The sequence below is a fragment of the Homo sapiens genome, chromosome 15 (genome assembly GCF_000001405.40).
Source record: "Homo sapiens chromosome 15, GRCh38.p14 Primary Assembly".
Classification (NCBI taxonomy): Eukaryota; Metazoa; Chordata; class Mammalia; order Primates; family Hominidae; genus Homo; species Homo sapiens.
Window position 1 is genome coordinate 27974824 of NC_000015.10, and position 15380 is coordinate 27990203.

Here is a 15380-nt window from a genome sequence, read left to right on the forward strand (position 1 = left end):
TCAGTAAAATAAGGACAGTCCTAAGGCCATCTTCCCAGAGAATGTCACTTTGGCAGAAAATTGTATGACAAGCCTGGGCTGAGCCTCAGCAAGACCATAGGGTGTACTCACCTCCAGGGTCCTCACCTTTCTTTCCTACCATCGTATTTAAAACCTGGATATCTTAAAAAGGCTCGTCATATGCCATGGAGGATTGTAGCAATGGTCTGACAGACTGCTCTTTGCCCTCAGTTTTCTACGTGGCTTGGTAGAAACACAGCCAGTGTCTGTCTTGGGTCATATCATATTGTTTAGTTCAGAATATTTCGATCTAGGACTGTAAGGGCAGGCTTAAAATGATGCAGAGTTAATTCAGATTGTGTGTAAGAAATACACCATGCCTAGGATTTTACATTAACACTAATGTGATGCTAGTCAGGAGAGTTAAACTGTTGCAGCATTCATTAAATATTGTCTTAAAAAGAAGAAAAAAAAATAAGTTGAAAGCCAAGTTCTAAAGAGTGTAATGAAGTACAGTAGCCACATCTTCACTTGAACTATTTTTCTACCTATTCTACTACAACTTAGGTTTTCCACTAGAAATTAAGGTTTTAGGTTTTACACTTACATCTATGATCCAGTTTGAGTTAATTTGTGGATATAGTGAGAGGTGTGGACTAAAGTTCATTTTTCCTGAATATGAATATACATTTGTTCCAGGACAATTTGTGGAAAACGCTATCTTGTCTCTGCTGACTTGGCTTTGCACCTTTGTCAAAAATCAGTAGTTCACTTATGTGTGGGCCTGTATCTACACTCCCTACTTTATTCCATTTATCTATTTGTCTGTCTTGATGCCAAAACCACTGTCTTGGTTACTGAGACTTTATAATAAATCTTGGTGTCAGGAAGTACTAGCCCTTTCCATTTGTTTTTGTTTTCTTTTTTTGTCATTCTGGATACTCTGAATTTCTGTATAAATTTTAGAATCAGCTTGTCAATTTCTACCCAAAGAGAAAACCTGCTATAGTTTTGATGGGGATTGCTTGAATTTATAGATTAATTTGGAAAGAATGGATAGCTTAACAATATTGAGTTTTCCAGCCCATAAACAAGGTGTACCTCTTAATTTATTTAGATCTTCTTTAATTACTCTGCAGTTTTGTAGTTTTCAGTATATAGGCCTTGCGTATGTTTGGTCATATGCAATACTGAATACAGCATATGTTTTGTGCTACTGTAAGTGAAATTTTAATTTTCAGTTATTTATTGCTAAATATAGAAAACCATTAATTTTTGTATATGGACTCCGTATCCTGCAACCTTGTCAAATTTATTTATTTGTAGGAGCTCTTTTGTGGACTGCACCAAATCTTCTACGTGGACGATTGTGTCATCCGCAAATAAAGACTTTTAATTCTTCCTTACCAATATTGATGCTTTGTATTTCTTTTCTTGCATTATCACGTGAGCTACAGCCTCCAATAAAATGTTGAATAAAAATAGTGAGAACAGATATCCTTGTCTTGTTTCTGATGTTAGAGGGAAATCATTCAGTTATTCTCAATGAAGTATGATGCTAGCTATAGATTCTCAGATGTTCTTTATTGGGTTGATGAATTTCTCTTTTATCCTTAGTTTCTTGAGAGATTTTATCAGTAATAGATATCGGATTTTGCCAAATGTTTTTTCTGCATCTATTGAGATGATCATATGGTTTTCTCATTTAGTTTGTTAGTATAGTAAATTACATTGATTAATATTTCAAATATAAGAATCTTCCATTCCTGGATAAATTCTACTTGGTTAAGATGTATTACCTATTTAGATATTGTTAAATTGGATTTACTAATTTTTTAAATATTAAATCTATGTTCACAAGAAATATTTATCTATAGTTGCCTTTTCTCATACTGGTTTTGTCTAGTTCACATATCAAGGCCTCATAGAATTAATTGGGAAATATTCTCACCTCTTCAATTTACTGTAAAGCTTTGTATAGAATTGGTATTATAACATTATTTTTTCCTTAACTATTTGGGAGAATTCACCAAAGAAGCTATCTTAGCCTGAGTTGTTTGTTTATGTTTGTTTTGTTCTTTGTGGGAAGGTTTTTAACTACATATTTGATTCTTCTATAGATACAGGGCTACTCAGGTTACCTACTTCTTCTTGAGTGAAGTTTTAAAGAGTGTGTGTTTCCAAAAAATTGTTTATTTTATCTAAGTTGTCAAATAGTTTACATAGAGTTGTCCATGATCTTCTCTAAGAATAGTATTAATGTCTGTATGCTCTGTTGTAATATAACAACTCTTATTCTTGATATTAGTAACTTGAATCTTCTGTCTCATTTTCCTCATCAGCTTGGCGAGATGTTTATCAATATTATTGATCTTGTCAAAGAACCAGCTTTTGCTTTCGTTGATGTTCCCTATTTTTCTAGTCTGTATATATTTTTTTCTTCTGCTTACTTTTAGTTTAATTTCTCTTTCTGATTCCATAGGATAAAGCTGAGGTTATGGATTTGAGACACATCTTTTCAAATACAGGTGTTTAGTGTTATAAATTTCCTTCTAAATACTGCTTTAGAGTAGGGACTAGCACACGTGGAGCTGGAATATAGCCATATCCATTCATTTATGTGTTGTCTATGGCTGCTTTCTTGCTATATAGTGGTGCAGCTGAGTAATTGCAATGGAGACCATACAGCCCACACGTCTATAAAATTAACTATATATGGCCTTTTAAGAAGTCTACTGACTTCTGCTATAGAGGAATCCCACAAATTCTGATATGTTCTGTTTTCACTATAATTCAACACAAAATTGCTCGGGACTGAATTGTGTTTCCCCGAAAGTACTGTGGCCAAAGCCCTACCTCGCCCCCTCAATGGGGTGGTATTAGGAGATGGAGTCTTTTGGAGGTGATAGGGCTTAGATGAGGTCATGAGGGTGGAGCCCTCACACTGGGATTAATGCCTGTATAAGAAGAGACACCAGAGAGCTTCATCTCTGCCTCTTCTCCCCGCCTCCCTGCCACATGAGGACACAGTGAGAGAGCGGCCATCTGCAAGCCTGGAAGACAGCCCTCACCAGGGAATGAGATCCACTGGATCTTGAACTTTCTAGCCTCCCGACTGTGAGGAATAAATTGCTGTTATTTAAGCTGCCCAGTCTATGGTATTTGGTTATCGCATTCCAAGCTGATGAGTACAAAAATACTTTCTAATTTCAATCTCACTTTCTTCTTTGACCCTTGGATTACTGAAATGTGTGTTATTTAGTTTCCAGATATTTGAGGATTTTCCACATATCCTTGTTATTATATTCTAATTTAATTCAACTGTGGTCACAGAAAATATTTTATATTACTTGAATCTTTTTAAGTTTATTGAGATCTGTCTTATGGCCTAGAATCCATTTCAGTTAATGTTTCAAGTGCAGTTGGAAAAACATATACATTCTTCTGATATTGAGTGGCGTTTTCTATAAATATCAACTAGGTCATGTTAGTTAACAATAATGAAGTTTTCTATATCCTTGTAGATTTTCTCTCTACTTGTTCTTTCAATTATTGTGAGAATTGTACTGAACTCTCCAACTATAATTAAGGATTTATCTATTCCTCCTGCAGTACTATCAAGTTTCACATATTTTAAAGCTCTGTCATTGGTTGTATAAATGTAATTTTTATGTTCACTATATGAATTTACCCCTTTATTATGATGAAATGTTCTTTAATCCTAGAAATATTCTTTGCTCTGCAGTCTACTTTGTCAGATATTAATATAGCCACTTTGTTCTGATGAATCTTTTGCCATTCCTTTACTTTTAACTTGTGTCTATATGTATATATGTGTGTATATATATAGAGAGAGAGAGAGAGACATTTTTTTTTTTCCTGAGACGGAGTTTCACTCGTCACCCAGGCTGGAGTGCAATGGGGTGATCTTGTCTCACTGCAACCTCCATCTTCCGGGTTCAAGCGATTCTCCTGCCTCAGTCTCCCAAGTAGCTAGGATTCCACGTGCCTGCCACCATGCCCGGCTAATATTTTGTACTTTTAGTAGAGACGGGGTTTCACCATGTTAGCCAGGATGGTCTTGAACTCTTGATCTTAGGTGATCCACCAGCCTCGGCCTCCCAAAGTGCTGGGATTACAGGCATGAGCCACCGCGCCTGGCCTTGTATCTTTATATTTTAAACTTGTGTCTTGTAAGCAGCATAATGCAGATGTTCCCTGACTTAATTTGGTTCCATTTACAATTTTTCAATTTCACAATGGTGCAAAAGCATCTCAACTTTGATGTAATGTACAATATTCAATAAGTTACATGAGCTATCCAGCACTTTATTATAAAGTAGACTTTGTGTTAGATTTTGCCCAACTATATGCTAATGTAAGTGTTCTGAGCACATTTAAGGTGGGCTTAGGCTAAGCTATGATGTTCAGTAGGTTAGGTATATTAAACACATTTTGGCTTATGATATTTTTAACTTACAGTAAGTTTATCTGGATGTAATCCCAAAGTTAGCTGAGGAGCATCTATAGTTGGATGGGGCTTGTTTGTTTGATCTGACAATCCCTGCTTTTTAATTGGGATATTTAAACTATTTATATGTTATGTAATTATTAAATATAGTTAGGTTTAACTCTTGCAATTTGTTTTATATTTGTTCCACCATTTCTTTGCTTCCTTTTGCCTTTTTTCTAAATTCCATTCCATTAAATAAATACTATTTATGATTCCACTTATATTCTTTGTTGGCATTAGCTGTTACTCTTTGTTTTTCCTTTTAGCGGTTGCTTTAGAGTTTATCATATACATTTTTAACTTTCACGGACTACCTTCAAATTATATTAGTTTACATATACTATAAAAAATCTTACATTAATATACTTTTTTTTTTTTTTTGAGACAGAGTCTCACTCTTTCACCCAGGCTGGAGTGCAGTGGCACAGTCTTGGCTCACTGCAACCTCCGCCTCCTGGGTTCAAGCAATCCTTCTGCCTCAGCCTCCTGAGTAGCTGGGACTACAAGCACGTGCCACCATGCCCAGCTAGTGTTTTTTTTTTTTTTTTTTTGGATTTCTAGTAGAGACGGGTTTTAACCGTGTTAGCCAGGATGGTCTCGATCTCCACACCTCATGATCCACCCGCCTCAGCCTCCCAAAGTGCTGGGATTACAGGTGTGAGCCACCGCACCTGACACATTAATATACTTTAATTTCTTCCCTTCCAGGCTTTATTTTATTGTTGTCATCAATTCTACTTACATGTTACATTACTGTTTTCTTTAAACAATTATCTCAAAGTGGCTTAATTTTTTTTTGTTTTTTGAGACAGAGTCTCGCTCTGTTGCCCAGGCTGGATGGAGTGCAGTGGCACGATCTCGGCTCGCTGCAAGCTCCGCCTCATGGGTTCACGCCATTCTCCTGCCTCAGCCTCCAGAGTAGCTGGGACTACAGGCACCCAATACCACGCCTGGCTAAGTTTTTGTATTTTTAGTAGAGACGGGGTTTCACCTTGTTAACCAGGATGGTCCTGATCTCCTGACCTCATGATCCGACCGCCTCAGCCTCCCAAAGTGCTGGGATTACAGGCGTGAGCCACCGCGCACGGCCAGTAATTTTTTAAATTATGTGAATTTCCCCATGTAGTTACCCTTTTCAGTATTCTTCATGACTTTGTGAAGATCCATGTTTCCATTTGGTGTTATTTTCCTTCTGCCTTAAGGACTTCCTTTAGTATGTCTTACCATGTGGGTCTGCTGCTGATGCATTCTTTTTAGCTTTTCTATATGAGAAAAAGTCTGTTTTTTGTACATAAGAAAAAGATTTTCACCGGGTGTAGTATTCTGAGATCACAGGTGTTTTCTTTCAGTATTTAAAGGTATTGCTCCGTTGCCTTCACACGTGCATTATCTCTAAAGAGAAATATATTGTCGTCTTTATCTCTGTTTCCTCGCCTGTAACATGTCTTTTTCTTTGGAAACTAAGATTTTCTCTTCATCTTGCTTTCAAATAATTTGATTATGATGTGTCTTACTGTAGTATTCTACGTGTTTCTTGGGCTCTGGCTTCATTGAACTTCTTGATTCTGTGGGTTTATACCATTCATAAAATTTGGAATTTAGGACCATTTTTCAGATGCCTTTTTCCGTTCCCCTCTCTCCTTCAGAGATGAGAATTGCATATGTTAGGCCACTTGAAATTTTCCCATAGCTCACTAATGCTTTTCAGTCCTTGTTATTATCTTTTTACTCCATTTCATTTTGGATTTATGTCTTCATTAATCTTTCCTTATGTAATATTTAATATGCCACTAATCCCAGCAAGTGTATTTCTATCTCAGACATTGTAATGTTCATGTCTAGATGTTTGATGTGGGGCTTTTTTAATATCTTTAATGTTGCTACTTGGTGAATATCTGTAACACCATTATAATAACACTTTTAATGTCCTAGTCTGCTAATTCTAACACCTGTGCCTGTTCTACGTTAGTTTCAAATGGTTTGTATCATCGCTGTCATAGGTTATATTTTCTTGCTTCTTTACATGCCTGATAATCAGTGATTGGTTGCCAGACATTGCAAATTTTACCCTGTGTGTTGTTGAATATTTTTGTATCACTCTAAATATTCTTGACGTTTGTTCTAGGATGCAGTTAAAATACTTAGAAACAGTTTGGTTCTTTGGGGTCTTAGTTTCAAGATTTCTTAGGTGGAAGCAGAGCAGTGTTCAGTTTATAGTTAATTACCCCTCATAACTGAGGCAAGACACTTGTGAGTACTCTACCCAGTGCTCCATAAATTAAGAGGTTCCAGTCTGCCTGGCAGAACAGATATCATTACTATTCCTGTCGTGTGCGTCAAGCACTTGTCCCTCTCATCTTTCTGGGTTGTTCTCCCCGGGTCTCATGTAGTCTCCTCGCATGAATGCACTGATCTGAACACTCTGCTGAACACTCCAAAGGGACCCTCTGAGGATCTCTGTGGTTCAGCTGTGTCCTCTCTGGACTCTCGCTGCCCTGGTCTCCCCAGACTTTCAGCTTCATCCTCTCAACTCAGGGGGTGTCATGGGCTTGGCCAGGGTCGTCCCTCCCTGCACTGCACTCTGGAAGCTCTCTTGAGGTAGTGAGCTGGAGCAGTCATAGAGCTCACCGCATTTGTTTCCCGTCTCACAGGGATCACTGTCCCTTTGTGCCTGTTATCCAGTGACTTGGTTACCATTGTTCCATGTGTTTTGTCTGGTTTTGGTTTATTTTTGTTTTGTTTGACTATCCCAGGCAAGAGAGTAAATCCAGGCCCTGTTATTCCATGTTGGCCAGAAGCAGAAGCTGTGCTGTCTTTTGTACTCATCTATATCCACATACAAACACTCTAGGATGCTATTTGCACCAAAATATTAAAAGAATTTACCTCTGGTTTTTGGAATTATGAATTTTTATTGTATGTGCATGTGCATGTCTGTGAGACTTCTGTTTTCTACCAAAAAAAGTATTACCTGTTTATGGAATGAAACTAACAATACAATTTTTTTCTAAAAATACTTCTATTCCATGAGCATGAGCTCCATCCTGGATAACAGGTGCCCCTAGCATAAACTGCAGGGTCTGTTACCACCTGACATGCTCCAGGGTGGCATGACCATGGCTGCACACCTCAGTTCACATGGCAAAGTTGGTGAAGTGTTGCCAAGCAGTTTCCCACGGCAGCTAGGGAATGCAGAGCCATACCCAGAACCTCTGGAGCGCACTGCTTCCATGAAGCGGCCATTAACACCCTGGAGCCATGGATTCTCAAATGTTTAAATATTTTTATGGAACACAGCGTTCAAATACAAACACACTGCTACCCTTCAGGCACACACACACACAAACACATCATCTACAAGAAATAACACCAATGTGGAAGCATTTTCACTGATGCCTCAGAGGAGGAAGATTGAGAAAATTCTAATGATCAAAGAGTAGAGAATAAAAATTAATGATATAGTTCAATTTTCACCTTGAAGATATGTAGAATACCTTGCACTTTCTAATACTTTGTCTTTATTACAGTATACAAAGAAATTATACCCTAATATTTATATGGGGCTTTCAAAGAATTTCTAAAGACATTCATTTCTGACCCTTAAAAAATAAATTTTAAGTCCTTCATCAGTAAACTAATCCACCACAGTTTGGGAATCCCATATCTCCAGTGAGAGGGAACAGGTCATTTTGTTTTTAATGTAGGTTGGAAGAAACCTCAGTTCCTATTAATACAATTAATATAACATACTATGACTAACTACATCATGCTATCCAGTCATTTCTTTAAAAACTGATCAGAATGAGTATGAAGTCAATTCAAGCCAGTTAACTCTAGGATTGAAGGACCAGTCACCTAACATCCCAGTCTTGAGATGCCCAGTAGCACTTACTGTGAAGAGGTGGCGTGATGATCTTGATTTCTAACAAAGGCGTCCATGTGGGGTAGAGCTCTAACTAAGTGGAGGTGTGCGTTTACTGGAAGCAACCCTAGCATGCTGGTACGTACCATCTTCCTCAGCTCTTGGTTGGAAACAATAATGACATTTGGAGGGTCCCCGATGGCAGTGGCAGCTCCTCCAATGTTTGTGAAGATCACTTCTGCAATCAGGACTTGTCTTGGATCAAGGTTGAGCACCTCACACAACCTGTCACAAATGGAGGAAAATGAAAGTAGTCCCACTATACACATCGTGAAAGGCCCACATGCAACCCAGAGATTTTTAAGGCGCTTGCTCGTATAAGGGAGGCGCGCACACACACACACCCCTGTGGGGAAGGCAGTGCTGGGGGGAATGAACAACTGCAACAACCCCCGCAGGCCACAGCTCACTCCGAGAGTTACATTCCTTTCCAGAGTGAGCCTCCAGCCACCAAACCCTCGGTGTGGTCAGGTACCCTTTCCCCAATGCTCCCAGGTCTGGAGGGAGCACTGGCCCCCAGGGCAGGGCAGGCCCTCCACAGGCAAGCCAGTGCTGTGGGGGTCAGTGTGGAGGCAGTGCGGATGGCTCACACAGGGCCTGCTGACTCAGCCCCTTTCCCACCTCCCCCTTCCTGGACACCAAGGCCCTAGGCTCTCTTCTCACCCCCTCCCTTTGTTTTATTCATCTATGTATTTTCTATGTATTTACTTTGTATTGCTATAAAACATACTAGATATATATATACATACATACATTTTCAGGGTGCATATGATAATGTAATAATTCACATAATCAAACCAGGTAACTAGGATAACCATCCCCTTAAATATCAATCTGTTCTTTACCCTGGGAGCATTCCAGTTATTCTCTTCTAGCTATCTTGGAGTGTACAATCAATTCATGCTAACTGTATTCACCCTACAGATCTGTCTAAGCCACATTCTACAGCTGTGGAGCTCCACCATGGCCTCACACTAGATTTGTGCTGGAATCTGGGAGTCCTACAACTCGCCCAGCGCAGACCAGTGCCTGGGAGTGGGCCCGGGCAGTGGTGCTCTACAGCTCCCCAGGGGACCCAGTATGCACACAGCTGGGAAACATTGCTCTAAAGAAAGTGTAGAAGGCACATCACAGCATCCCCTACACCTGCTCATCCACACAGCCCACTCCCACACAGGACCCGGCCTTGGGTCTCACTCAGAGGCCTCCCACCACCTCAGCAGATGGTGATGGAGAAGAACATGGACAGGGACTCCTGGCACCTGGGCACCTGGTGGTCTGGGGTGAGCCATTTTTTGTTTGTTTGTTTGTTTGTTTTTTGAGACGGAGTCTCGCTCTGTTGCCCAGGCTGGAGTGTGGTGGCGCAATCTCAGCTCACTGCAACCTCCGCCTCCCGGGTTCAAGGGATTCTCCTGCCTCAGCCTCCCCAGTAGCTGGGATTACAGGCACGTGCCACCACGCCTGGCTAATTTCTGTATTTTTAGTAGAGACGGGGTTTCACCAGGGGTGAGCCATTCTTGTCCACATGTCTCCCCATGAGACCACAATCTCCAGGAAAGCAAGGCCTATGTCTTCCACCTCCTGCAGGCATTTCTGCCACCAGCTTCTGAGGCCCCACTGCTTGTAGCATGTACTGCAGTCACACAAAGCAGACACGAGCTGGACTGGAATGCAGTGAGCTGTGGGCTCAACCGCCCCCACCTTTTCATGCACCTGAGAATGGAACCTGGAGCCAGGCAGTGCAGGCAGAGCCCCTGCCTGCCAGAACCTGGCCGCAACTCCCACGGCAGAGGTGCTTTGCGTACCTTATGGTCACAGGCGTGAAGAGGAGCATGGTGGTGACGTTGTCCAAGAAGGCAGAGAGGACGGCCGCGATGAGACAGAGCATGATGATCATGGCCCACACCCGTCCCCGGGAGAGCCGGTATGCCTGGCCACACACACACAGAGAGAGTACAAGCCAGAGTGAGCAGGCTCGTAGAACAGAGGCAGCCTTTCATTAGTGACTTTAAGAACAGGGAGCCAAACTAACATTACCCCATGGGTTAAGACATAGACCCACGGAGTCCTAGGGGGGCCGAGATGAGACAGTGCTGGCCATCGAAGTTCCTAGACATTCTAAATCCTCCCTAGCCAGCACTGTCACCCCTCTGATCCTCTTCCTTCACAGAGCCCCTGTGATGGTTAATTTGTCACAAGGTGATGACCCTCAGTCCCCGTAATGCCATCGGTATTCTGGTTAGACAACCTGGGCTTTGACATTTGGGATCCATGTGAGCCTAGTGTCTGCTGATCTCTGGGGAACTAAGGGATACTTTTAATAGTAAGGAGTAATAGACCAAATATCTACCTGGCATGTATAAGGTGGGGCTCAAAGATGACAAAAATCACAGCACAGTTCCATCATTCAGAGTTTGCAAAGGGCTTTGTTGAGTAATTTTTTTTTTTTTTTGAGACAGAGTCTCACTCTGCCACCCAGGCTGGAGTTTGGTGGTGTGATCTCGGCTCACTGCAACCTCCACGCCTGGGGTTCAAGCAATTCTCTCGCCTCAGCCTCCCGAGTAGCTGGGATTACAGGCGTGTGCTACCACGCCCAGCTAATTTTTGTATTTTTAGTAGAGATGAGGTTTCACCATGTTCACCAGGATGGTCTCAACCTCTTGACCTCGTGATCTGCCCACCTTGGGCTCCCAAAGTACTAGGATTACAGGCGTGAGCCACTGCGCCCAGCCTGTTGAGTAATTTTTAAAAAGACCTTTTCAGTTTCAAAAATAATATATATTCAAGCACAGCACTAGACTGCATTAGCAGGGCATGGTACATGTTGAGCTCTCCTCTTGCCAACCCTGAATGACAGGACAGGTACAAATCCTGGAGGCCAGAGCTGGCTGGTGAAGCTCCCCAGGGTTCCAGTTAAAAATGTAAATGTGTATATATTCAATATTTAGGAAGGAATCATGGAAATTATTTCACCAAAAAGCAAAGTAATCAGAAGCTAATGGCTTGAAATATTGGGATACTCTAATATGTAAAACAATTTTTGATGTGTAGCTCTCACCAGACAATTTAAATAATACACAACGATTCAACCTGAGTACCCTTTTCCTTGACCTCCTTCTTCATTTATTTACTGAGCAGCTGAAAGTGCTGCTCAGAGCCATACAACTTAACATAGCAAGTATACCCTGCCCTGCAGAAGCAACCTTTAAAAGAAGGATGGAATTTTTCAATGTTTGTTTTAAATGTTTGTTTCCTAAATATATAATGTCAGAAAAATACATATATAAATTAATCAGGATAGAATTATTAAATGCAACATCATACCTACCTTTACAGCACAATAATCGAAAAATCCCGTTTCTGAAAATATGGCTACTAAGATCATCTATGGGGAAAAGAAGAAGACAAGGATAATCTTTTAGCAGGACACCATATTAAAACGACATCAGCATGATCCCTTACACATTTGAGCTCTGGCCTCTGAAAGCCACCACATCACCAAGCTCCTCACTCTGAGATGCAGAAAGACCGTCACTTCCTGGAATAGTACACTCACTCACTCCTTGAATGGAGCCTCTTGCTAGCAGTTTTGTGCCTATATGTGTGTCCAGGGATTTGTCCTCAAGGCACATTACCATCCCATCTGATCCTCACACACAAAAAAATCAGGTGTTATTTTCACCCTCTGTTTTATAGACTAGAAAATGGGATCAGAGTGCGAGGTGGGTTGCTCACAGCCACAAATCTAGAAGCCGGGCGGGAGCCAGCATGTGGCCTTCTGCACCTACGTGTCCACACAAGCAACACTTAAACATTCTATGATGCTAAAATTGGGTTCAATTTTGTTTTCTAAAATAATTAAACTGATTTTTGTCACCAATTTGAGAGTTTTATTGAAATGATTGCTCCCTGGGTTCCAGGTGAACCCAGAATGCCTATCACCTGTTTCTTTCCAGTGAGGATGATGAGTTAGTGAAAACAGAAACAGCCATCCTGGATCCTAATAAAAAGTCATGTCCCAGTTATTCTGAATTTTATCAACCAGACATCTCAGCTAGTGAATGTTCTGGAAGTTCCTCTGCTTCACCTCTTTGATGGCAGTCACCATGTGTTGAACTTGGAATGAGAAGATGCAAGTTCAGATCCTGATTCTGCCACTTAAAAATAGTCTGAACTTGAGGCTGGGTGTGGTGGCTCACGCCTGTAATCCCAGCACTTTGGGAGGCCAAGGCGGGCGGATCACGAGATCAGGAGATCGAGACCCTCCTGGCTAACATGGTGAAACCCCATCTCTACTAAAAAAAAAAAAAAATACAAAAAATTAGCTGGGTGGGGTGGCGGGCGCCTGTAGTCCCAGCTACTCAGGAGGCTGAGGCAGGAGAATGGCATGAACCCAGGACGGGGAGCTTGCAGTGAGCCAAGATCACGCCACTGCACTCCAGCCTGGAGACAGAGCGAGACTCTGTCTCAAAAAAAAAAGTCCGAACTTGAACAAAAATATGAATTAACCTTTCTGTCCTTCAGTTTTCTCACCTTACCTGTGAATGTTCTATACTTTGTCAGGTTATGAAAATGCAATATAATTATTCAAATTACAATACTCAGTAAACAGGAGTCCCAACAGACACTATTGTCTCTCAAATAAACTATAGAAAACAAAAATGTCCCCAGTCAATTTAGACCCAGTGTAAATATCCACCATGTCCAGAGTGACCATCAATGTTCATCCTCACCCAAAAGGCCACTGAGAGCTGACGGTGGAGCGTGGGGCTTCGCACACCAATGTAGCTTCACGTGAATACGCATGAGGAGACAGGCGTGTGGAGACCCATGTGGTGTTTTACACATTTGCTGACAGAACCACCCTGGGAGACTAGAACTCAGGGATGGGGGTAAATGGTCCCATGGGTGGTTGGCTGCCAGGAAATGGGGGAGAAGAGGCAGGGACCTGGTTGTAACGACCCTGTACCCTGCAGTTCCAGAATCACAGAACCTGCCAGTGCTCGCTGAACTGAATTCCACCGAGAAAAACGTGCTGAAGCCATTTTTATAGGCTGTGTCCCCCAAAATTCATATGTTCACCTCCTAGCCCCTAGTACCTGGGAATGTGAGACTGTATTTGGAGTGAGGGCGTTGAAGGAGGTAATTAAATTAAAATGAGGTTGTTAGGGTGAGCCCTCATTCAGTGTGACTGATGTCCTTATAGGATGAGGGTCTCAGGAATCAGAAACACACGGGGAAGACAAAGTGAAAACGCTGGGAGAAGGTGCCATCTACAAGCCCAGGAGGGAGGCTCAGGAGAAAGCATGCCTGCCCACACCGTGATCTCGGACTTGCAGCCTCCAGAGCTGTGAGAAAATACATTTATATTATTTAAGCCACACGGTCTGTGGTACTTTGTTACATAGTCCTAGCAAACTAATATAGCATTCCTTTTTTAAAAAAGGCGTATCTCAGGGATATCTGGTACACTTCCTCTCTTCTATCCAGATGCCCAAACTCTGTATACGTCTCAGGCCCGACACAAGTATTAGTTACTCTGTGAAGCCAGGGTTAGAGCACTGGCCTGCCTCCCTGCGCACCACCCACAGAGGATGGCGGCACGGTTTCCATCAGGTCACATAGCTGGGCCCTCCGTTATGTCAGCCAGCCTTGGGAGGGACGAAATGTTGGCAAGGAAAATGAGGATCTATCGTGCCCAGCTGTACACAGAGCAAGTCTTCTAGCCCAGAGAGGAAGAGCCCTCCTGCAGACCACTGGACTGTTTGGGGTCTGCTGAGGAACACGTGGACTGCCCCTGCTGCCCAGGCTCCACTGGTTCTAGTTAAGCTGGGTTAGGACTCACACTAGTGAGTCCCACACTAGCCCGCTTGGGCACTTCGAGATCCTGCAGGTGGACTTGGTGGCATTCCTCACAGCAGAGTGGCCACTGGGCACTATGATCAATTGGTAAACACCCAACTAATACTTAGGAGTGACACCTTCCTTTATTCACATAATGAAAGGTACTCTCTCTCCCACTGAAACTCCTACATGGTTTATTTATTTGGGATAGTCCATTTTTTTTATTTTAACGGAAATAACTCAAAAGAATTGCTAGCTTTTCTAAATGGCAATATGACTTCATCGTCAGACACGCCTTGGGCTGAAATTCTCCCGCCCACGAACCATAGCCCCATTCCATTCCTCCTCAGGAGATTCATGAGACCTGCACTAACACTTCTCAGTCAAGCCCTAGGCGCTGTGTCTTTAACATAATGAAGGACCCTCAGCGGTGGAGGCCAGAGAAGGCCCGGTTACCGCAGGCGTGGAGCCCAGTCCCACGGGGAGAGCTGTAATTACCATGCCAAACAGCAGGGCCAGCGTCTCAAAATCAATCCACTCCACCACATGGGTCAGGCTGGGTCTCTGCAATCAAAGCACAAATTTGCCAATTAATCCGTGCGCCGCCATCCCAGTGATGAGCCTAATGAAGCGCTGCCCCCTGCTGCAGACCCACTCAGTGGGCGGGCCAGGGTTGGAAATCTCACCATCCACTTGCCTTTGAAGTTGGATTATATCGCTGCTGAAAAACAGTCTTGACCCAGGGCATCTATAATGTCAAATCTATGCATTTAGTAATAAAGTTTTTTCTAGCCCCTGCCTCTGGCAGCTCCCACATGGCGGGACTGGCCCCTGGTTACATTCCGAGTGGAGTCTGTATGTGCTCTCTGCAGTGCCGTGCCTGAGACCAGATGACAGGAACTGGCATGGCAGCTGTCCCACTCTCAGCTGGGTTCCAGCACTGCCTCTCAGACAACTCTGGGCCTCCATCCCCAGTGGCCACTGGTCTCTGTTGTTTCCCTACATTTGTTTCCCATGTCCCTGCCAGAGAGGCCCTGCTCAGACCCAAACAGGACACCCTCATCCCCAAACACGCCTCTCCAGGGGCCTCCTGATCTCTTC

The 15380-nt window shown here is 42.5% G+C and overlaps 1 protein-coding gene across 30 annotated transcripts in view, besides 1 other annotated feature; it reads right to left on the minus strand.

Annotated features, from left to right (window-relative positions):
• The window catches only part of OCA2 (OCA2 melanosomal transmembrane protein), a 380308-nt gene that overhangs the window by 255816 nt on the left and 109112 nt on the right, over positions 1 to 15380 (minus strand). For 25 of the 30 annotated variants that reach the window (XR_001751294.2, XM_047432618.1, XM_047432609.1 and 22 more), the window contains 4 exons: positions 14778 to 14843; positions 11764 to 11820; positions 10241 to 10365; positions 8522 to 8660 (listed from right to left, as the gene is read on the minus strand). Coding sequence is in view for 29 of the 30 variants with exons in the window: in XM_047432618.1 (XP_047288574.1) it covers positions 8522 to 8660; positions 10241 to 10365; positions 11764 to 11820; positions 14778 to 14843 (387 nt within the window). In the remaining variant the exon portion in view is untranslated. The remainder of the gene's footprint in view (positions 1 to 8521; positions 8661 to 10240; positions 10366 to 11763; positions 11821 to 14777; positions 14844 to 15380) is intronic. The other 5 variants (XM_047432619.1, XM_047432611.1, XM_047432608.1 and 2 more) reach the window with 1 other exon arrangement.
• Positions 8409 to 8909: an enhancer, noted in NCBI's record as "H3K4me1 hESC enhancer chr15:28228378-28228878 (GRCh37/hg19 assembly coordinates)". NCBI's record gives its function as "activates a minimal SCP1, AML or CMV promoter by ChIP-STARR-seq in primed H9 embryonic stem cells {active_cell/tissue: H9 hESC(primed)}" and the evidence as "EXISTENCE:reporter gene assay evidence [ECO:0000049][PMID:30033119]".